Genomic DNA, 25063 nt, shown 5'->3' on the forward strand with positions numbered 1-25063 from the left:
CTCAGCCTCCCAAGTAGCTGGGATTACGGGCATGCACCACCATGCCCAGCTAATTTTTGTACTTTTAGTAGAGACGGGGTTTCCCCATATTGGTCAGGCTGGTTTCAAACTCCTGACCTCATGTGATCCACCCACCTCAGCCTCCCGAAGTGCTGGGATTACAAGTGTGAGCCACCACGCCCGGCCTTGGATCATGTTTCTGATGTGCCTCACCAAATTGCTTTCTTACGCCCCGAGAGATATATGCCATCCCAGTTACAGCGCCCAGCTTAGATGATCACATTAAACATTTTGGGCAATAACCTAATAGATAAATGTTACACTGTTTTATTTTAATATTATTTTTGATTATGAGGAGGCTGCTCATTCTCTCATGTTTGTTTATTTTCATGAATTGAGACTCTATGCTTTTTAAATTTCTTTAACCTACCAGAGTCTTGGAGATTTTCTTCACATTTTGTGTGGACTATTAACATTATTTTTATGTAATGTTTGATTCTGAAGTGTTTATATAAAAACGATAATAAACCATTCTCTGCTGTATTTGCTGCAAATACTTTTTTTTCACATGGTTGCTTATCTCCATTTTGGTACCTTTTAAAATAACAATTCTTCACATAATAAAGGTATATTTATATATACAATTCAATGTGGTATATGCCATGGTTCTCTAAAGATGCAGATAATAATATTCTTAGATTAGGCTTTTATTATATTTTGAAAGCAATGCATTCAAATGGGAAGGTATAATTAGAATCTAAATATCTGCCCTTGATGATCCATTTAGTATGCAGTAGCCAGAAGGAGTCTCTTAAAAAGCAAGGTCATGTTGTTCCTTGGTTCAAAACTCTCCAGCGCTTTCCCAACCTATGCAGAATAAAATCCAAAGTCCTTCCTTCGACACAGAACCTCCATTATCTTGCCTCTGACCACTTCTGCCTCTTCTTCTACTCCTCTCTCTCTTCCTCCCTCAGCTCTAGCCAGACACTCTCCTGGCTCTTCCTGAAACCCACCAAAGATTCTCCCAATGCGGGCCTTTACATGACTGTTCCTTCTGTGTGCACTGTCTTTCCCTAGACTTCCTCCCCTCCCAAGCGTCATCAGGGTGGGCTTCCCCAGGCCACCTAAAATAGCTCACCAACCCTCACTGCTGCACTGTCTAGCATGTGTAACAACCTGACTTTCTTTGTTTTCTTCATTGCTGTTTTCCCCAATAATCAGCTAGTTGAATACATGAATGACTAAATTCAAGGATGCATCTGATAACCTCTGAGGTGACAACTATATAAAATGCATTTGGTATTTTTTTAATTGTAAAAAAAAAATCCCTTTCTCTTACATATTAAAAATACTCCTAACATTAGTGTTGTTTTTTTTTGTTTGTTTGTTTTGTTTTTTGGCACCTTCTGTGTTCTATAGTTCACTAGGGTTTTGTGGAGTTTGGGAAATGCTGTTCTGCAAGACAGAATAAAGGCAAGGTGACTGCCCATCTGTCTCTTGTCATTATTCAGCATACCTCAGCGTTTCAAACAAATATAAAAGGTGGTAGATAAAAAGAATATCATCATTTACCTACATCTGTGTTTGAGAATAGCATTCAAAAGAGATGGTTTTAATAACAGAAAAGTTACTTCATAAGGAGTTTGGATTAAAAACAAGAATATAAATTGAAAGAGAATTGGGAATCTGAAAATAAGGAAAATATTTAATAACATTAGTGACCCAGGAGGAATATAATGCAATAATGCTTATGAGATGATAAAAATGGTAACAAGGACCCAAAAAATCAAAGCACTTATATAGGCATGAAATTTACGAAAATAAAAAATAGCATGACTTCTCAAATGCAAATGATACAGCTGGAGGAAAATTATCAGAGAGATGTATTTTGTTATCAGTGAAATCAGAAATGCAAAAAACACTGAAAAGTGGCCAGTATAGTGGAAAAGGTATTAGTAGGTAAGAGCTTTTTAAAAACCTTACTCATATGCTGACAGAAAGACTGGAGGCCTCCTAAAGACTGAGCAGCATGGGAGTGTTACCTGCTGAAACAGGGACAATAAAATTATTGGGCTTCAAAATCAGTACCAAATAAAAAATCAGTAGCTTAGTGTCCCAAGAGCCAAGGGAGTAATTCTGCCACCTCCCCCATGTCTCACTTCAAAAATAGCATTTTTATGTGCTGCTTACTCATTGACTTTGAAAACTAAGTTATTTGTAAAAGATTTATTTTTTTATTTTATTTTATTTTATTTTATTTTATCTTATCTTATTTTATTTTATTTTATTTTATTTTATTGAGACAGGGTCTGGCTCTGTCACCCAGGCCGGAGTGCAGTGGCACAGCCTGGGCTCAGTGCAACCTCCGCCTCCTGGGCTCAAGCAATCCTAACCACCTCAGCCTTCCGAGTAGCTGGGACTACAGGCATACGTCACCATGCCCAACTAATTTTTGTATTTTTTTGGTACAGACAGGGTTTTGTCATGTTGCCCAGGCTGGTCTCAAACTCCTGAGCTCAAGTGATCCACTTGCCTTGGCCTCCCCAAATGCTGGGAGTACAGGCATGAACCATTGCGCCTGGCTTGTAAAAGGTTTTTAAACTTTGTTTGTAATGTCATTATCAAAAACTTCAGCAAATATATTTATTCATGATGTTGCAATAGATGTTATAAATAAACTAGATATTGTCCTTCAAATGCAAATTCTTACACATTTACTCACAAGAATAATCAGAGAAATAAAACAACAATATAGTGTTTTGTGTATACACACAAAATGAGTCTCAAGCATTATTTATAATCTGTTGTTACAAAAAAGTCATTTTAAAAAGCTTCTGGGCATGTTCTGCCTAAGGATCATGAAATATAAAACAGGGAGAGGAAATGATTTTTGCATATAATCAGTGTCTAGATTAGGAAAAGAACAACTTAAGAGCAACTTAACAAAAGATAGAATAGCTCTTTTTAGCAGTGTATTAGCTAGAAAATAGCTCTGAATAGGAAGAGAAGAAAAGGAAAGCTTTTTGTATTTTCTTTAAATCTTAGAAACAAAAGATTTCCAGTTAGCCTGTGATCTTCTACCCTAGAAAGAATGAAGTTTGCAAAAATATGTTTAAGGTTGATGAGACAGAGGAGTGCTGAAAGGGATTAATATATTCCCCAGTTGAGTAGTGCTAAGGAGGGAGATAATAGCTGACTAATATTTCTAGTAGATACATTATTTTAAAAGGACAAATTAGCATGGTAGATGGCAATGAAATATGAAAAGGTAAGATAGTAGCAGTAATGAATACAAGGAAAAAGAAAAATTGAGCTGAATGTTAGACAAAGCTTATGAAAGAATTCTTGGTCAAAGTAATAGATACAAAGTAGGAAATGAAATGTTTATAAAAGACTCTGTACTGGTCAGAGTTTCATGAAAAGGCACAGAATCCCCTATGGCTAGTTTTAAGGGGATTTTATTTTTATTTTTATTTTTTGAGACAAGGTCTCACTCTGTCACCCAGGCTGGAGTATAGTAGTTTGATCTTGGCTGACTGCAACCTCCGCCTCCCAGGCTCAGGCAATCCTTCTGCCTCATCCTCCTGAATAACTGGGATTACAGGCACGTGCCACCACGCCTGGCTAATTTTTGTATTTTTTTGTAGAGATGGGGTTTCACCATTGTTGCCCAGGCTGGTCTCGAAATCCCGGGCTCAGGTGATCTGCCTGCCTAGGCCTCCCAAAGTGCTGGGATTACGGGCTTGAGCCACCATGACTGGTAGCAGAGGAGATTAAAAAAAAAAAGTATAAAACATTTTTCAGAGCCTTCTTGGAAGACTTGACCAGGAAGGCTACTGTCTCTTCCAAGACGAGGAAGGAGCACATTCAGAGGACAGCCAAGAAGGTGAGCTGCTTTGAATGAACCACACACTTCCATAATGGTAGCAGGCAGTAGGACCATGGAAGCCATAGAAAAGCAACTTCCATCTTTCTTCCATGCTTTAAAAGCCGAGGTGAGCGCACCAAAGAGGTAGAACCTAAGTCACACCCAGATCCCTAGCTTAAGGAGTTCTAGAAATGCAGCTTTTATTTATTTTTATTTTTTATTTTTTTTGAGACGGAGTCTTGCTCTGTCGCCCAGACTTGAGTGCAGTGGTGCGATCTTGGCTCACTGCCACCTCCACCTCCCGGATTCAAGCGATTCTCCTGCCTTAGCCTCCTGAATAGCTGCGACTACAGGAATGGGCCACCAAGCCCGGCTAATTTTTTGTATTTTTAGTAGAGATGGGGTTTCACCATATTGGCCAGGCTGGTCTCAAATTCCTGACCTCGTGATCCACCCACCTCGGCTTCCCAAAGTTCTGGGATTACAGACGTGAGCCACAGCCGCCGGCCGCAGCTTTTATCTTTTTGGCCTCAGCAGTACAGGAAGGCACTTAGAAAGAGTTTGGAATGGATGGAGAGTGCCTATGCCCATAATGCACACTACTGACTTCATTCTTAGAGAAACTGAAAGGAGAACACCTAAAACAACAAAATCAGAAACATAATTAAGAACCAGTTCTTCTGGTCGGACATGGTGGCTCACATCTGTAATCCCAGCACTTTGGGAGGCTGAGTTGGAAGGATCGTTTAAGCCCAGGAACTTGAGACCAGCCTGGGCAATATAGTGAGACTCTATCTCTATGAAAAATAAAAAATAAATTAGTCAGGTATGATGGCTCACACTGGTAATCCCAGCTACACTCAGAAGGCTGAGGTGGAAGGATTGATTGAACCGAAGATGTTGAGGCTTTTAGTAGAGACTGCAGTGAGCCATGATTACACCACTGCACTCCAACCTGGGCAACAGAGCTAGATCCTATCTTAAAAACAAAAACAAAAAAACCCAAAAAACCAGTTCTTCCTAAGTCTCAGCATTCATTGTTAGCTCTCCCTAAGTATCAAAAGGACTGTTATAAAGGATTTGAAAGACAACATTTAAAATAAGAGTGAGAAATACCTTCAAGTTACACTTTTATTTGGAAACTGTGATACTATTGTTGTGACATTGTTACTTGTAGGAGGCAGCAAAGAAGAAAGTAAGTTGTCTGGCATTGGTAAGTTCCGGAGAATCAAGTGCAGATAAGATTGTTTTAGATACACTATGATGAGGATAAAAGGCCCTAAAACCATCATCAAGAAGTCAGGCCAGCACTAATTCTAAGTGTGTTAATGTCTAAAATGATAGCTGGGTTTTCTAGCAATATGATGGAATTGTGGCACATACTGTGATAAAAGCTCCTGCTACAAACACATCTAAAATGATCAAGAAAACAATGTAAATACACGGCACAGTTCTCAAAAATGTTCCTGAGGGTACAAGAGTGAAGAGGGAGCTGGAATAATGGCTGAAGCTGAAGCAAAAGCTGCAGGCTTGCTTGGGATGTTTGCTGGTCTCTGACCTGGAGGCTTGTTTCAATGGCCACATGTGGTGGAGGCAGGGGATCAGTATTTGGGTTCTCAGTTTGCAGGAAAAGGGAGCAAGACCCAGACACACACCTGGCAGTCTCAGAGCAGGACTCTTTCTTTTCTTTCCTTTCCTTCCCTTCCTTCCCTTCTCTTTTTTTCTTTCTTTCCTTCTTTCTTTTTTTCTTTCTTTCTCTTTCTTTCTTTCTTTCTTTCTTTCTTTCTTTCTTTCTTTCTTTCTTTCCTTTCTTTTCTTTCTTTCTTTCTTTCTTTCTTTCTTTCTTTCTTTCTTTCTTTCTTTCTTTCTCCTTTCTTTCTTTCTTTCTTTCTTTCTTTCTTTCTTTCTTTCTTTCTTTCTTTCTCTTTCTTTCTCTGTCTTTCTTTCTCTTTCTCTCTCTCTCTTTCTTTCTCTCCCCTTCCTTCCTTCCTTCCTTCTTTCCTTCCTTTCTTCCTTTCTTTGATACAGAGTCTTGCTCTGTTGCTGAGGTTGGAGTGCAGTGGTGCGATCTTGGCTCACGGCAACCGTTCAAGCCATTCCTGTGCCTCAGCCTCCCAAGTAGCTGGGATTATAGACATGTGTCATCACACCTGGCTAATTTTCATATTTTTAGTAGAGGTGGGGTTTCACCATGTTGGCCAGGCTGGTCTCAAACTCCTGGCCTCAAGTGATCTGCCCACCTCAGCCTCCCAAAGTGCTGGGATTACAGGTGTGAGCCAACATGCCCGCCCCAAAGTAGGACACTTTCCATGAAAATGTGGGCTACAAAAATCTGCCTTCACGGGAAGATGCCAAACTCTGGCTGGGAAAGAAAAAGGTCTTCCTGGAGAATTCATAACCATATGCCTGACATCTCATGGGTTTGTAAATTCAAACTATTAGCATGGTATGTGGTGGTCCAAGATCAGAAATAGAAATAGTACCTGGGGGATCTTCCGCTACTTCCTTCTTACCATACATTCCCAATCTCTCTCTCTCTCTCTTTTTTTTTTTTTGTCTATTTCATTTTGGATAAAACAGTTCAATTCATATGGTTATTCTGATACCTAAACTGCTCTTCTGCAGTTACACATTGTTTAACTCTTCAACCAAATGAGTAAAAGTAATCATTCATGGCAACTTGATCCCTAAGGAGTCAGATTATGGTTAGAAACAGACACTGAAGTCAGTCAGATTTGACTTTTCATTTGAGCTCAATTCGTAATCTTGAGCAAGTTCCCTCACTTCTCTCTTAGTTTCTTCATCAGCCAAACAGGGATAATAGTAGCATCTACCAATGAGAAGTTCGTGTTGAGCATTTAGCACTTACTTGGCACATAATGAATCCTTAAGAAGTGCCAGCCATGTATCAACAATGGTGAGCAAATCCTTATGATCTAAATTTCTACATATCCAGGATTCTAGGTCCTTAACTTCCTTTATAAAAAGCATAACTAAGGCCAGTTGCGGTGGCTCACGTCTGTAATCCCAGCACTTTGAGAGGCCGAGGCAGGTGGATCATGAGGTCAGGAGATAGAGACCATCCTGGCTAACACGGTGAAACCCCATCTCTACTAAAAATACAAAAAAATTAGTTGGGAGTGGTGGCGGGCACCTGTAGTCCCAGCTACTTGGGAGGCTGAGGCAGGAGAATGGCTGAACCTGGGAGGCGGAGCTTGCAGTGAGCTGAGATTGCACCACTGCACTCCAGCCTGGGTGACAGAGGGAGACTCCATCTCAAAAAAAAAAAAAAAAAAAAGGAAAAAAAAAAAAGCATAACTAAGCATTACAGTTTAGCTCATTCATCTTCTAGTTTTAAAATTTTCTACCAACTTTGTTAGATATTAGGTAATTTATATCTTTTCATATTAAATTGGTTGTTAAGCAAAGAATACTATAAGCCAACAGATCTTTTCACTTTGTATTTCTCCAGGATCCCAGATAATTTCTTAGGAGTGGGATGTGAACTCATTAAATCTTTCAAGACTTTCTTATATAATTTCTAGCTCTTTGCAATATAGAAGGGGCTCAATACACTCATTTGGATATAAAAGTGGATTAATGTATGTTAGAGTCATCACTAACAGAGCTGGCAGGAGTCTTAAGGGCCTAGTTTGACCAGTTAGTTGATGTTTAGTACGCATCAACACGTCATTCTCAGCCAGAAGTTACCTGGATCAGAGCTTGTCTATTAATCTCCAGTGACAGAAATTCACTCTTCTAAGGCAGTGCATTCTTGCTGTGAGTTCCATGCCTCTGAAATTTAATGTGGATTAGTTCTTTCCCTGAGCTTACCTTGAAGCCAGACTCAGCACTTCATCACATCCCCAGGGTGATATTGTGAAATATGTATTTGGTCTTCATCCTGTTTCCTGGAATACATACAGCTCCTAAAATCTTTAGACTCTCTGGAGTGATAAGTGTCTTTGTATGCTAATAGGATGACTGGTGGCTGGGGGTCCCTAGGGAGCTTCAGAATGGGGACAGGTCACTGAAAGACCAAGGCATGATGAGAGGGTTGGGACTTTCAGTGCCACCTCCCCAACCTCTTGGGAAGGCTTAAGGTTAAGCCAATCACCAATGGCCAGTGATTTAATCAAGCATGCCCACATGATCAAGCCTCTGTAAAAACCCAAAAGAACTGGATTCCGAGAGCTCCGGATAGCTGGACACATGGAGGTTCATGGAGGGTGGTGCCCATGGAAAGGGCACGGAGCTTTCATGCCCTTCCCACATACCTTGCTATATGCATCTCTTTCATCTGGCTGTTTATCTGTATCCTTTATAATAAACTGATAAACATATATAAAGTGTTTCTGTGAATCATTGTAGCAGATCGAATTGAAAGAGGGGGTCTTGGGAACCCTGATTTATAGCCAGTCAGTCAGAAGTACAGGTCACAAGCTGGCATTTGTAACTGACATTTGAGGTTGGGGGCAATCTTGTGGGACTGAGCCTTTAACCTGAGGAATCAGACACTCACTTTAGGTAGATAGAGTCAGAATTGAATTGAATTATAAGACACCCAGCTGGTGTCCACTGCAGAGTTGCTTGGGGTTTAGCAAGAAAACCTCAAACATCTGGTGTCAGAAGTGTTGTACTAAGAAAAGTAAAAACACTTTGGGTTTTTCTGATCATTCCTTACCCAGAGGGCAGATCCAATTCCACAAATCCTTATGTTGGGGCTTAGAAATTGACACCCCTGGCTGGGCATGGTGGCTTATGCCTGTAATCCCAGCACTTTGGGAGGCCGAGGCAGGTGGATCACTTGAGCTTAGGAGTTCGAGACCAGCCTGGCCAACATCTCTACTAAAAATACAAAAATTAGCCCGGCGTGGTGGTGGGTGCCTGTAATCCCAGTTTGGGAGGCTGAGGCAGGACAATCGCTTGAACCCGGGAGGCAGAGTTTGCAGTAAATTGAGATCACGTCACTGCACTCTAGCCTGGGCGACAGAGCAAGACTCTGTCTAAAAGAAAAGAAAAGAAAGAAAGAAATCGACACCCCCAATATAGCACCCTAGCATGCTAATTATTTTCAATTAATGGCCTTTGAAGAACAGCAGATCCTGGAAGAAGCTTTATGCTGATATTTCCTTATCTAGCTCAAGTCCAGACCCACCAAAGAAGAAAACAGTTACCTGTAGTCCTTTCTCTGAATTTTCATTAATTTAACTCATATTGCAGGTAGAGACTGAGGTTTGTCAACACACCTGGACAGGCATTTGTCATCAACTATTGTCTGCTGTATATTCTTCAAGTCCATTGAATTCCCCTAAAAATCTTTCACCTTGCCTCAAATTGCCACATTTCTCCCTACCCCTATAAAGAAGGGTTTATAAACCTCTGTACCCCATTGTATTATTGGGTAATCATCCTTCTGTGATTCCCTCATGCTATGCATGTTAAAATTTGTATGCCTTTCATCCTATGAATCTGCCTTTTGTCAGTTGATTTTCAGCAAAACTTCAGAGGGCAAAGGGAGAGTTTTCCCTTGGGCCTACACTTAGTGAAGTAGATTGTACTGAATATTACCTGTGGTGGTGGTTGTGAAATGCTGGAGAATTTGCATACTTCACAGCAAAGTTTAATTGCAATCCGCTATAGGCATTTTTGAGTACTAAAGTCTCTTTCCATACAGTCTAGCAACATTACCTCTTTTTATTGCTCTCTTTGCCCCAAATTTAGGCTCTGAAATTCTCTATATTTTCAGAACAATTCAGTTTAGGTCCTCAGCTAGTATAGCTCTCTCCAAACAAAAGCCACTCAGCTGGAGGAACTCATCGTTTTAGAAAGCAGGCCAGTGGCCATCTATTGTTATTTCATAGGGATTGGCTGAAAACCCCCAATTTGTAATGGTTTCTCTCTTCACTCCAGATGATCTACCCAAATGATTGGTCAAGCAGAACAGCCCCCGGCTCCACTTTTTTTTTTTTGGATAGAGTGGGAGGGTGGTGGTCGGAAAAGGGCATATATAGAGAGGGGCACATGTGGTTGGGCTGCTAAAAAAATCGTATAGTTTTCTCCGTGTTATATCTAATTTATAATATTAGGTAACTGAGTGTTCTAAAGAGTTATTATGTTTCAATAAGTGCCTAACTTGCTCCTAAATAGAAACAAAAATATTTTTATAATAGCTGTATTGCTTTATAATCAGCTATAATTCACATATTATGAAATTCACCCTTTTAAAATGTACAATTCAATGGCTTTCAGTATATTCACAATTGTCACATCTCATTCTAGAATGTTTTCATCACCCCCAAAAGAAACCCCTTACCCCTCAAAAGTTACTCCCTAATTTTCCCCTCTCCTCAGCCCCTGGCAACCACGAATCTACTCTCTATCTCTATAGATTTGCCTATTCTGGACATTTCATTTGCTCTTTTGTGACTGACTTTTTTCACTTAGCATAATATTTTTAAGTATCTATGCTGCAGAATGTATCAGTACTTCATTCTTGTTATGCCCAAATAATATTCCATTCTATAAATATACCACATTCTGTTTATCTATTCATCAGTTGATAGACATTTGGGTTGTTTCCACTTTTTGGCTATTATGAATAATACTACTATGAACATTCATGTACAAGTCATTATGGGAATAAATGTTTTCATTTCTCTTGGGTATATATATATATATCTAAGAGTGGAGTTGCTGGGTCATATGTTTTTAACTTTTTAGGGAAATGCCAAACTGTTTTCCAAAGTGGCTGCAGCATTTTACATTCTCACCAGCAAGTATGAATGTCCCAGTTTTTTTACACCCTCACCAACACATGTTATTGTCTTTTTATTATAGCCGTCTTAGTAGATGTGAAGTGGTACCTATTCCTATTGTGGTTTTGATGTACATTTCTCTGTTGGCTAATGACGTTGAGCGTATTTTCATGTGCTTATTCTCTTTTATATATCTTTTTTGGAGAGTATCTGTTGAAATCATTTGTGCACTTTTAAATTGGGTTACTTGTGTTTTTATTGTTGAGAGAATTCTATGTTTTGAATAGAAGTCTCTTAGTAGATATATGATTTGCAAAATTGTTTTATGTTCCATAGGTTTTTCTAAATAGTAATTTGTATTTAGGCAACACTTGAATTATTCAGAAGTTAAAGATTAAGTATGGATATTATCCAAACCCTTTACCTTTCTCCTCGATTTGTTCCAATTTGGAAAATCAGTGCTTACAGCATATTTTAAAAAGAGTGCACAGAGGAAAGAAAAAAGCACAGTGCTTCACAGAGAGAATGTGCTTGATTAACTTTGGCAAATGAATGAAAGAAATTTATGCATTTATTCCTAGTTCCTACCACTACTCTGACTTGTCGAGTCCTTCTGGGGGACTTTCAGACCAGTGATATTCATCTTATGGGTGAAACACCCTCAGGGGAGCTATGAAGTATTCAAAAAGTATGCCTGTCTGTACTTGCATGCTGGACTATTCCACATGCACGCACTAAAGCATAACCACTACCACACGGGGATCCACAGATTCTTCATGGTAAAAAGCAGTTTCATGTTCTGCTCTTTAATTTCAAGAATCACTGACTTAAGAGAAAGAAACAGCTGTTTTTGTCACTTCCATGCTGACCCTACAGTGTTTTCAATGGTCTGGGCATTTCTACGTCATTTATGCTATGGATGTTTATTTGGAGGTTCACTTTAGGGAATTTCATACTTACCTCAATACCCCTGACCTCAGAGTGATTCCCACATTGTAGTTCCCTGTCCCCTTCATGCAGCACATAACTGCGGGGGGATGGACCTGACCCTGGGAGGGAGGCAGGTCACACTTGGCTGCCTGCCTATCGGATCAGCTGAATCCACTCTGGAGACCTTGCAGCTGACACAGTACCAGCCAGGCTGCCTGCACTTCCCCATCACTTCCAACAGTCTATCAAGATCATTTTGCAACTGCATTTGACATAATCCCTTGTATATCTTGAGTGTTGGCTCACAGAAAAAATCAGAACGATTCAAAACTGGGAAGAGTCAAAGGAATTCTAGTTGGGTCTGCAGCTGAAACTGAAAAACCAAAGAAGGCATGTGTATGAAGGAAGCAAGCTGGGTAAAGGAAGAACAACAAAGGGAAGCAAGACCTTACTTGCACCTGATATAAACAGGAGTCTAAGTTTACATAGGCAGAGCTGGCTGCTGCTAGAGTTACTCAGCTCAATTACCCATCCAGAGCACTCATGCAGATGCCTGTAGGCATGTATATGACATATATGTGGATGCGAGTCTCCACTAACAAGCGAAACATCCCTGTGTTTATGAGTATGGAAAATGGCCCCATCAGAGAGAAGGGAAAGTGAAAAGTTTTTTTTAAGTTAGTGGATTTCAGGAGTTAATGTGCTTGTTGTTTCAGTATAGGTTGGAGAAAACAATTTCTAAATAGAAATAGTCATCTATAATACCACATCATAGTATTTATACAATGGTGTTTTTCCCTTCATAAATGCAAGTGCTTTTAAGTATACATTATTGCTCATCATCACAACATTCCCGTGAAGAAAAGAGGCTGTTTCACCAACTGATCTGAGGCTTAGAGGTGAACTGACTGTTCTGGGGGTCAGGGAACAAGGGATAGGTTACTGATACTTAGATCCCAGTTTGGAGCTAGGAACTAAATTAGACATTTCACATATATAAATTCCTTTAGTCCCTATAAGAACCTCATGAGGTGGTTGGCATTATACTTTCATAGATTGAATAAAATTGCCCAAATTACTGAGCTAGTAATGGTAGAATCAGACTACATTTGTCTTATTTTAGAGCCATATTCTTTTAGCTATGTCATGTTCTTATTTGCCAATTCTAATTGACTGAAGCCTCTTGCTTGGAGGGATGTGTGGAAGGAATCAAAGCCCACGCCCAGTTATTCTAGCTGATGCTAGTGGGATGGGAGGATTGGCATCTCACATAGAACCTAACCCTCATTGTAGAATGAGTGAATGTGGACTAGGCCTCATTTCTAAGGGACTAAAGGAAGGATTTCCATTACACAAGGGTCTATATTTTGAGGGACCTACAGAAAGACTCAATACAAAGGCAGCTCCTAACGACTGCATTTTGATAATAATTTTCCATCCTTTCCTTTTTCTGCTGCAAGTAAACTAGCCATGACTAATTTTCTCATTTCTCCCTGACACTTCCCTCCTTCTTTCTTCAGTAGAAGGGTTTCCTTCCTTAAAATGACATCTTCCTTTTATTTTAAAGGTGATTATTAATGAAACATGGAATGCAGCAGAAATACATTCCCAATGTGCATGGTCAATCCACGTATGACCAGCAGAGTGGTAGAATATAGACAAGGTCATGACAGCTCTGACCACGACAGACAGCCGAATGCAGCATCAGTGGTGCTTGTATGAAAAGGATAAAAAGATTTAACCAGAATTATACTACACCACGGTTCATGTTTTAATTTGGGGAATGACAAATATTCCTCAGTTTGCTGCTTTTACATATGTATTTAAATTTTCAGTTTTCAGGACCGAATTGACATATTTAAAATCCTTGATTTTTATATATTAAAAAAGAATCCTTTCATTTTCTTTTGCCAATTACAGCTATCATGTACGTATCTGTACCTTTCTCTACCAGGTTTTCACATACAGAAAAACATGAGTCTCCCATGAGAGTCCTCTGGACTCATATTTTGCAGAGTAAAACCTGCAGAAACCTTTGGATCTGGATCCCAGTTGGTCCCAAACTTACCACACCACTTCACTTTCCAGTTTCTATTGGCATCCACTCCACGGCAGCGAAACCTTGAGTTCCTTGACCTTGTTTTTCTCCAAAATCGATCCTAGACATAATTAAGAAAACAGGTGCTGAGAAAAATACTTAAAAGGTTATTCGCATGCATTTTAATAGCTCAATCAATGAAAGAGTCATACCACTGAGGGGAGAGTTCTCCTGTGAATAGACAAGCCCAGGGAGTGAAAAAGAGCACTGGATTAGTAGTGGAGACCCAGGTTCATGCTCCAATTTCTGCTACAAACTTCCTGTATTTTGCCTTCTCTTTTTTTTTTTTTGAGACAGAGTCTCGCTCTATCGCCCTGGCTGGAGTGCAGTGGCACGATCTCGGCTCACTGCAAGTTCCGCCTCCCGGGTTCACACCATTCTCCTGCCTCAACCTCCCGAGTAGCTGGGACTACAGGCGCCCGCCACCGCGCCCGGCTAATTTTTTTTTGTATTTTTAGTAGAGACGGGGTTTCACGGTGTTAGCCAGGATGGTCTCGATCTCCTGACCTTGTAATCTGCCTGTCTCGGCTTCCCAAAGTGCTGGGATTACAGGCTTGAGCCACCGCGCCCGGCCTTTTTGCCTTCTCTTGGCCCCATTTCTTTATAGGCAAAATTGAATGGGCTGGACTAGACTAGTGATTTTTCACAATTTATTTGGAAGAAGGAATCTTTATTTATGTGAAATCTCTACAAAATCTAGATGTGAAAATGAAATCTAATTGTTGGTGCTCTGATTGGGGAAAGAGTGAAGGCCTCTTTTGCATCTCTGGAATCACTCAGCTGATTGCCTGTCCAGCTTCTTTCCTGTCCTGGAAGTTTGTGACTCTGTTTTCTATGATTTATTTAGTCCTCTTTTCAACTGGGTAGGCAAAGTGACTTACATTGGTCCAACTAAAATGGTATCCATCGACGTTAAACACAGGCATGATATAGAAATATAGATGATTCAACATTTTTCTCATGGCTGGGTCACTCTTATATGTTAGAAGAGCCTAAAAGACAAAGGTGAGATTTTTCTTTTAAATTGGTCCCCAAAAGAGGAAAAAAGAGTGTGAGATATCCTTTCTATCCATGAGAACTACCAAATACGGTGGTTTAAAAAGTCATAAACTAACATGAAGTTTAGTCTTCGACATTGTAAATTCTGTTAAGACTTCTGTCTGAATTAAACTCTTTATTATCAATAATCTTTTAGCAGAGCTGTTAAAAGAGATCAGTTGGGCAGCCTCTTAATCGTAATTAAGATCTGGCTACAGTTTTAGGCTGATTAAGAAAGCAGCAACATAGATAGGATTTGTATAACCACCTGTTTTTAGATTCCATTCAATTGTGGACAAAATAACTGCCTAAATCTATTTGATAGCTTTACACAATAGATCATAGCACAGACCAGCTGCATGTCACTTAATTGTCTAATTAGTAGCAGCCTCAAACCTTGGAACCTACTGCATTGAGACTCTATTCTTTTCTCCTTACTTTTCTGTAAAAAGTTTATGATATTATGATATTATGAACAAAAACTCCCTTTTTATTACTTCCTGATCCCATTTTCTTTCCCTCCACCAAGGTAATCCCTATCCTAAGTTTGACATTATCTTTTCCATGCATGATTGTATGTATTGCTACATATATATGTAGCATGAGAACAATGTATGATATTGTGTGTATGCGTTAACATTATATGTAAGTGAGATATGTTAATTTGTGATCTGCTTTCCTCCCAATATATTTTTGATGTTTATTAAGTTGAGGATTTATTCATCTTGACTGCTAAATGGTATTCCATTATAGGTAAATACACAAGTTATTTTGTTGATGGACAGTTAGATCGAGTTTGGTATTTCACTGTTACAATATTGCAATAAATATGCTTGCACATTTCTCCTAGACATATGAGAATTTGTTTATAACATATAGCCAGGAATGGATTTGTTGGGTCATGGATTTACATGTTTTTAATTATGCTAAATGTTGCCATATTTTATTAAATCAGTAAACACTCCTATCTGCAGTGAGTGCACAGGTTACCTATGCCAAAGAACAAGTTTCCATTTGTGGATGGAATTGCATTAATGCACTCTGGTCTATAACAATTCACCAAACTCACACCATGGTTTATATAGAATCTGATGAGTCTGGTAGGATGTGTCTCCCCATGTTTTTTGAGTTTAAAATTATCGTGACTATTTTTGACCCTTCCCTGTTCACATAAATTTTGAAATCAAGGTTGAACACATTAAGGAGGTTCTGTTTTATACTTAGGTTGTTTTTGTCACTAATGTTTGTTGAATTTTAGCAAATGATTTTTCTTCCTGTATTGTCATAATCATTTGGTGGTTATGATGTGTCAAATAATTTTCTGTTGTTAAACCATCCTTGTATTCCTGGGATAAGCCCATTTGGTTATGATGTGTATTTTTAATATGTTGGTTGGATTCAGGTTGCTAACGCAGTCATACACTATATAACTATGTTTTGGTCAACAATGGATTGCATATGCCACTGTGGTTCCACAAGATTATAATGGAACATGTAGAGAAATCTGCTATGTGACACTTGATATTTGCATTGCAGATCAATAGGGAAAATGGCTGAAATTCAGCAGTGATGCTGGGGCATTTAGTTTTCCACATGAAAAAATATACATAAATAAAATACCATCTAGGTCTGCCTAAATACACTCTATGATGTTCACACAATGATGAAATCGCTTAATGACACATTTCCCAGAACATATCCTCGTTTTCAAGCAATGCATGACTGTATTAATATCCACATTTCCACATGAGCTAAGTGTATGATTTTCTTTCGTATTTTGTCCTTGTCTGGTTTTGCTACAAGGGTTATATTACCCTATTGTGATTTGGGGGTATCTAAAAATTATATTTGTAGAATATTTTTTAATATATTTGAATTATTAGTTCCCTGAATGGTAGAACTCAGCTCTGAGATCATTTAGGCCTAGAGCAGAAGTTAATGAAATATAAAACAAAGATACACTAAGAAAGATATATCCTTGTTTTCTATTTTATTGACTTCTGCTCTTTAACATTTTGTTGTTGTTGACTTAACAATTTTTTTTTTTTTTGGAGACGTCTTGCTTTGTCACCCAGGCTGGAGTGCAGTGGTGCAATCATAGCTCTCTGCAGCCTCAAACTCCTGGGCTCAAGTGATCCTCCTGCCTCAGCCTCCCAAGTAGCTGGGACTTCAGGCAGGAGCCACTTGGCTAAATATTAAATTTTTTTTTCTGAATATATATGTATATTTTTAATTATACTTTAAATTCTAGGGTACATGGGCACAACGTGCAGGTTTGTTACATAGGTATACATGTGCCATGTTGGTTTGCTGCACCCATTAACTCGTCATTTACATTAGGTGTTTCTCCTAATGTTATCCCTTCCCCTGACCCCCACCTCAAGAAAGGTCCCAGTGTGTGATGTTCCCCACCCTGTGTCCAAGTGCTCTCATTATTCAATTCCCACCTGAGTGAGAACATGTGGTGTTTGGCTTTCTGTCCTTGTGATAGTTTGCTCAGAATGATGGTTTCCAGCTTCATCCATGTCCCTGCAAAGGACATGAACTCATCCTTTTTTATGGCTGCATAGTATTCCATGGTGCATATGTGCCATGTTTTCTTAATCCAGTATATCATTGATGGACATTTGGGTTGGTTCCAAGTCTTTGCTATTGTGAATAGTGCCGCAATAAACATAACGTGTGCATGTGTCTTTATAGTAGCATGATTTATAATCCTTTGGTTATATACCCAGTAATGGGACCACTGGGTCAAATGGTATTTCTAGTTCTAGATCCTTGAGGAATCGCCACATTGTCTTCCACAATCGTTGAACTAGTTTACAGTCCCACCAACAGTGTAAATAAAAGTGTTCCTATTTCTCCACATCCTCTCCAGCATCTGTTGTTTCCTGACTTTTTAATGATCACCATTCTAACTGGTGTGAGATGATATCTCACTGTGGTTTTGATTTGCGTTTCTCTGATGACCAGTGATGATGAGCATTTTTTCATGTGTCTTTTGGATGCATAAATGTCTTCTTTTGAGAAGTGTCTGTTCATATCCTTTGCCCACTTTTTGATGGGATTGTTTTTTTCTTGTAAATCTGTTTAAGTTCTTTGTAGATTGGCAATTAGCCCTTTGTCAGATGGGTAGATTGCAAAATTTTTCTCCCATTTTGTAGGTTGCCTGTTCACTCTGATGGTAGTTTCTTTTGCTGTGCAGAAGCCCTTTAGTTTAATTAGATCCCATTTGTCTATTTTGGCTTCTGTTGCCTTTGCTTTTGGTGTTTTAGTCATGAAGTCCTTGCCCATGCCTATGTCCTGAATGGTATTGCCTAGGTTTTCTTCTAGGGTTTTTATGGTTTTAGGTCTAACATTTAAGTCTTTAATCCATCTTGAATTAATTTTTGCATAAGGTGTAAGGAGGGGATCCAGTTTCAGCTTTCTACATATGGCTAGCCAGTTTTCCCAGCACCATTTATTAAACAGGGAATCCTTTCCCCATTGCTTGTTTTTGTCAGGTTTGTCAAAGATCAGATGGTTGTAGATGTGTGGTGTTATTTCTGAGGCCCCTGTTCTGTTCCATTGGTCTCTATCTCTGTTTTGGTACCAGTCCCATGCTGTTGTGGTTACTGTAGCCTTGTAGTACAGTTTGAAGTCAGGTAGCCTGATGCCTCCAGCTTTGTTCTTTTGGCTTAGGATTGTCTTGGCAACGTGGGCTCTTTTTTGGTTCCATATGAACTTCAAAGTAGTTTTTTCCAATTCTGTGAAGAAAGTCATTGGTAGCTTGATGGGGATGGCATTGAATCTATAAATTACTTTGGGCAGTATGGCCATTTTCATGATATTGATTCTTCCTATCCATGAGCATGGAATGTTCTTCCATTTGTTTGTGTCCTCTTTTATTTCGTTGAGCGGTGGTTTGTAGTTCTCCTTGAAGAGGTCCTTCACATCCCTTGTGAGTTGTATTCCTAGGTATTTTATTCTCTTTGTAGCAATTGTGAATGGGAGTTCACTCATGATTTGGCTCTCTGTTTGTCTGTTATTGGTGTAAGAATGCTTGTGATTTTTTCACATTGATTTTGTATCCTGAGACTTCACAGAAATTGCTTATCAGCTTAAGGAGATTTTGGGCTGAGACGATGGGGTTTTCTAAATATACAATCATGTCATCTGCAAATAGGGACAATTCGACTTCCTCATTTCCTAATTGAATACCATTTATTTCTTTCTCTTGCATGATTGCCCTGGCCAGAACTTCCAACACTATGTTGAATAGGAGTGTTTTTTTTCTTTTTTTCTTTTTTTTGTAGAGACAGGGTCTCCCTATGTTGCCCAGGCTGGTCTCAGACTCCAGGGCTCAAGCAATCCTCCTTCTTAGCTTCCTAAAATGCTGGGATTACAGGCATGAGCTACCAGATCTGACCTGTCATTTACATTTCTGTTCCTTTTCTAATTTCTTGTGAGTGGAAAGATTGGCTCACTAACTTGGAGACTTTATTCGTTTCTCATATATTGATTTAAAATTATAAATTTCCCTTTAATACTACCTTAGTTGCATTCTATATGTCTATCAAGATGAAATCACCTACGATACATAGTAGTTTTGTTATCATTCAGTTCTAAATACTGAATTTCCTTGATTTAAATTTTACGTATAAATGTTTTTTTCTAAATATGTGTTAATCATTTTTTTTTAAAATAAATGATTTCTGACACTGTATTACAGTTAGAGAATGTGATATTTTTAACAGATTATTTGGTATTTGTTGATACTTGCTTTGTGGACTAGAATATAATCAATTGTTGTGAATGTTCCAATTGTGCTTAAAAAATATACATTCTCTAATTATTGGGTAAAGATACTATATGTGTTCATTGGATTATGTTATTATTGTTTGTATTACCTATATTCTTACTAAAAATTTGTCTGCTATTTTAACCACTGAGAATTGTGTTAAAACCTCATATTGTTATTTTGGCCTTATTGGTTTCTCTTACATGCTGTCAATTTTTGTTTTATATATTTTGAGGCCATTAACATCATTTAAAATTTTTTCATTTCTAAATAATATATTAATCAAAGAAGCTGTTCTCTAGTATTCTATTCTGGAAACAGTTTAATTTCCAAGACTTGTCAGAACGTGTTCTTCCTCTGACAAACAAGCAGGGTGTCATTGTATTGCATATGCTGTATTTGTGATTTTTGTAACTTTCTAAGAATTTCAGCTATTCTCCATCTGGTCACACAAAGCAAGAATCATCACGACGTGATGACTGTTAAATACTGAACAGGACATTTAGGAGAATTCCTTGCTTGAGTGCCTTAAATAATAGGACACAGATCATTTGTCTTTTATGGTTTAGGTAGGGGTTTCTAAAAGAAACGTAACCATGTGTCTTTCTATTTCCTGTTATTCTAACATATGATAAACATGAAGAACACAGGGGTGTGCTTTTCTTCTAATGTGTAGAACTATTTTTAGCAATCGATACATACCCTCCATACACACTGAAAAGGAGATGCCCAATAATCAAGTTGCATCTGGACCTACAAAGTTTAATTTCTTTATTACTATTGTTGCTTATGAGGAAGACTTAAGTAGTCGGGATCTGAAAGCCAGTTGCAAAACAATGCACCACACGCCTCAGTGTGGCGGTCCCTAGGTACTGCATCACCTCACTTAAATTTATTTTAAAGAGGCTTCACCAAAGCAATTTTTTCAATTAAAAGATACTAAGGAAAGTTTTTAGTATTATCTTCTCCCAGGCAAATGATAAGTTTGGAACTGATTGGGGCATTTCTGAAGTTAATTAAGAAAGACATAGAATGAATCTATTTGGTATTCACCATCTGCCAAGACTATTTTGGCCTCTACATACTTATGTACATGTTATAGATCAGAATTCACCAAATAAACTTTGGTTAAAATCAAAGACAAATTTTGCCATGACTAATGCCTTTGTGTGGCATGACAAAGTGAGGTAAAGGGTTTCCCTCCTTTTCAATGCTTTCGGATTTACGTGGTTGGATGTTGCTTTCTTAGAGTTCATGACAGCATGGAATATGGAGATCACTTTTTTGAGGATTGGTGTTAATGGCTTTTAAAAAGGTAGCTTTAAAACTTTCTTCTATTTTTACTTTAGAATCACTGCAGAGGACCTAAAAATAACCACACATCCAATGCAGGACACACTGGCAGAACGAAGCCTGTTACAGCTAAGGCCAAAGAAAGGGGCACAGTCACCATCAAGCTGAAGACCAGCCTCAACTGGACGGGACAGGAATATCACTTAGGACTGGTAAACACTGCGGCACCAAAATGGGTGCATCTCAACACAAAGGAGGTATTTTAAATTCAATACCAGAAGAATCAATTGGAGTCGGGGAGAGTTTACAGGGAAGTTTTTTTTTTTTTTTTTTTCAAAGGGGAGCTTAATCTATAAAGATAGCTGACATCACACTACAAGATGCTCATTAAATACAAAATGGTCAATCAAATAACAGTTTGAAAGTAACGAGAAGAAAAGGCTTCATAAATGAAGGGTGAAAAACTGAAAATGATCTCCTCATCTTGTATATTCTAGTTATTTTTATACTTAGTTATACTTAGAACCACCCAGAGTGACTAATCTAACAGGGCAGGTGAAGACTAGAAAATGTTGCCAATTAATCTACATTTTCTAATAAGAAACATAAATATTTGAAATGTTTTGTGTCACCAGGAAGAATATACTACTAGATACATGTCTATTCTTTTTCCTAAGTAATGCCATTTCACATTTCACACAGAGATAGCCTAACAACAGTGATTCATTGGTTGTATTTGCTCATGAGAAGAAGCCAGGACAACTTTGGTATTGTGAAGATCTAATCTGTAAGGATATTTTACCTACCAAAAAAGAAAGTACAGATGTCTTCACTTTGCATGGCTCTTATATACACAAATTTGTTACTGCACTTTAGTTAAATAACACCAGTCCTCCCACAGAAGTGTGAATTTTGGTTACCACTGCTACAAATCACTATATAAATAAAAATGAGCATCAAGACCTGTGATCGATTCTACTATTTCTTTAAAAGTCTGTCAGTGGTTGGTTGGTTACTACTGTGCATCTCATAATCAGTTTACACACAGACAGCAAAGTGTGTAGTTGTGTTGTGTCCTTGTTTCCCGGTGATAAATCTACAAGGTAATTTACAATAATGGATGGTGGAAAGAGGAAATTGTCCAACTAAGGTGAAAGTGTGGCAAAGAAATGAAAAGTGCTAATGCTGGAGGTGAGATCTGAACCCAAATATAAATGGAGCTTAGAACAAATAGCTGACTAGGAATGTTGACACTGCAGCATTCAGCTCTAAATATGCAGCCACAGGAATACAGTGAGGACCAACTTACCAATACAGATGAGGCAAGTGGTTGGGATGAAAAGGATGATGATATTCCAGAAGAAGTGACCTGGCAACACTTCACATTAAAGTAAGATATTTAGTGACATTGAAAGTACAAAGGAAAAAAAAATATTGGAAGCTGATTCAGTGAAGAGACAAGTATGGCAATCTGCCAAGGCAAATTTTTTATGAAAGATGCTTATTTCATATTGTAAGCTATACAGAGAGAAGATAATGAGCACAATCCAAACTACCCTTTATAAGGTTTTTTTTTTACAAAGAAATAAGACATTTTAATTCACAGTATTTCTCATGATTTAAAATGTAGCATACTAAATATTAGTTTTACTACTTAAAATCATTTCCCAATACATGTATAACAAAGTAAGAGAGTTTTTAATATTATGACAAAAGCTCTTAGGATCACGGAACAAACAATTTCTCTCATTGATTATGAAGATTGCTCTGTCCTGCTTCAGCTTGCGTCGCCACTTTTATAGTCTGGTGCTACTGGTGGAAAGCAAGCATTGTCTGTCTACACAATGGCCAGAACACTCACTATTATTAGGTAGCGGAGTACAACTAATGCAATGGATTTCAGTTTAGTCAAACTGAAACTAAACAAATATTGAATCAAAACTCTGCTATGTTCAAGGCATTATAAATTGGATAGAAGGGAGAAAGAGATAGGCTGGAAGATGTGAAGAATGAAGGAGATTGGGGAGAGTGAGCATGGGAGAACATAGGGAACTAACGGTACTGAAGGCCAGGAAAAAGCAAACCAAAATATCATAATTACTCAGAATGGCAGTGAACCAAAGTCAGACAATTTAAAAAATGAAGATCATTTTCATATGATGAGCTGTTTTCCATTAGGTAATTAAGAACAAAGACGTGTTTGCTTACTCAGCTGAACTCATTAGATACTTGATCTGGGCTTAGTAGCTGTCTCAATTATTTATTCCCTGTTTTTTGGCACATACATGCAATTTAAGTTCTCTTCTTAAAAATGTTTATTTTTAGTGATCTATTTCTTAACCAAGACCTTGGTGTTTCATGCCAATATCTGAGGGCTTATATTTTACCTTTAATGAGCAGCAAGACATAATGAGACTGAAAGAAATGATTATCTAAAAGGACTATTCCCTGGAGAGCTTTTGGATCCTGGGAGAAGAGCCTTCCCCTTCTGGAAAGACTTCCCAGTTGGAGGACTTCTCCTACAACCACAGCTCTAAGTCATTCTTAGAGCTCTGTCCTAAACAGAAAACCCACCATAGCCCTCACATATTACTACTTGCTCTGCCTGGAAAATAACCTGCTTCCCTGAAAGTCTCCTATTCTTATTTTTATTTGAATCATCTACATAGTACATCTGAATCACATGCCAGATGTTGGCACTAGGACTAGCCATCACTGCAGTGCTGAGTGTAGATGGGTGGGAATGTGCAATAGAGATGGTTTTCCAATAATCAAACTGGGCCTGGAAGGGTGAGGTTTCACATTACATAGACAGCAGACGAATATTGTGGCTCACTTGGAGAACTAAGGATGTTTTATTGCTTTTCTTTTCTTTCTTTCTTTCTTTTTTTTTGTACTGCTGCCTTTCTGTAACAGGATCAGATTAGATCCACCTGTATATTATACATCTTCAATGTCTAGGAGAACTTTCCATTTCAGGCCATTTTAGTCCCAAACATTTTTTTCACAAGCCCTTGCTTTATCTTTGGTCTGCCACTGAATTAAATAGAATTCAACTGCTGATTCTAAAAACCTGTAGAAATATATGACTCAAGTGTAACTGAGTTTAGTTTTAAAAACATAGTCATTTTTGACATGTTTTATGTAGAAAATTTTGGGAAATTCAGAAAAGCATAAAGAAGAAAATAAAAATTACCCATGATCCTATCCTCTTAACATTTGGCATTTTTTCAGGTATATATCTATATAACTCTCAGACACAGATTTTGCAAAATTGAATTATATTGTCCATGCTGGTTTTTTTTTTAAACATAGCAACATGTCATGAAGGGTTTTCTTCATCATTAAATACTATACTAAAATATTTTTATGTAGTCAGGGCTATCAGTCATTCCTTTACGCCTCTTTCTTTGCTTTTATGCTTGGAAATGTCTTCTTTACTTGGAAATCAAACAAATATTTCCCTGAGTTACTTTCTTAATATTATACAAATAATGACTCTGGTCAAATTCATCCCAGCGATGTAGAATTATTTGAGGAAAAAAACTGGAGTGCTATGCGTAACTCTGGGCCAGCAAGCACCAGCCATGGCTTGAGATACTCAATCTGGGAGGTCAACAATCTCAAACTAGCAAAAGCGAACAAAGCCCAAATTGCCTCATTCAGTTGGAGGTTATTCTGAAAAATGAAGCAAATGCTATTCCATCTGCATTGGCAACAAAGAATTAAAGTGGCCTTTCCACAATTAAAAAAACAAAAAGATGTAAAAATGAGCTGCCACTGAAAATTACTAGGCGATCCTAAATATAGCTATTACTTGCCCTAAATTTGTACCAGGACCTCAATGGTGTACTTCTACGATCTTCCATCCCTTTGCTTGTCTCTTCTTATCAGCTTATGTAATACAGACAAGAAAAGTACTTACACACAACTTTGTTACAGCAGACAAAATCACTGGAATTTATTCTTGGTTGTCTGCTGCCCAAATTAGGCCTGTGAATCAGGTATTCATTCATTTTGGCAGCTTGCTTGATCTTTCACCTCTTATCAAACAGCATTCATTCTTTTGGTCCATGAGAATCCATGAGTTGGATAACAGCAGAGTTTTTGATTTTCCCTCCCCATTATCCAGTATCCACGGTGTCTTAACAGGGCCTGGCCTAGTGCATAGTAGTAAACACTTGATAATTACTTGCTGAATAAATTAATCATTTCACCAGCTTAGTGTAGTGTAGTGTTGGGTACTTTCCTTCAGACTAATGGTCCTGCCAATGCTTCAAATGATGCTCCCCCAACTT

The 25063-nt window shown here is 38.3% G+C and overlaps 1 protein-coding gene and 1 long non-coding RNA gene across 3 annotated transcripts in view; one reads left to right on the forward strand and one right to left on the reverse strand.

Annotated features, from left to right (window-relative positions):
• ARFGEF1-DT (ARFGEF1 divergent transcript) overlaps window positions 1-21725 on the forward strand; it is a 148035-nt gene extending 126310 nt beyond the window's left edge. Inside the window, exons 4-5 of the long non-coding RNA NR_136224.1 lie at window positions 5046-5106; window positions 20822-21725. This is a non-coding gene — a long non-coding RNA (ARFGEF1 divergent transcript). The remainder of the gene's footprint in view (window positions 1-5045; window positions 5107-20821) is intronic.
• CPA6 (carboxypeptidase A6) overlaps window positions 1-25063 on the reverse strand; it is a 324323-nt gene that overhangs the window by 48106 nt on the left and 251154 nt on the right. For both annotated transcript variants that reach the window (NM_020361.5, XM_017013646.2), the window contains exons 7-8: window positions 14536-14646; window positions 13625-13715 (exon numbers count right to left, since the gene is read on the reverse strand). In NM_020361.5, coding sequence (NP_065094.3) covers window positions 13625-13715; window positions 14536-14646 — 202 coding nt within the window. The remainder of the gene's footprint in view (window positions 1-13624; window positions 13716-14535; window positions 14647-25063) is intronic.

This window comes from Homo sapiens, chromosome 8 (assembly GCF_000001405.40).
Source record: "Homo sapiens chromosome 8, GRCh38.p14 Primary Assembly".
In the NCBI taxonomy this organism is placed as follows: Eukaryota; Metazoa; Chordata; class Mammalia; order Primates; family Hominidae; genus Homo; species Homo sapiens.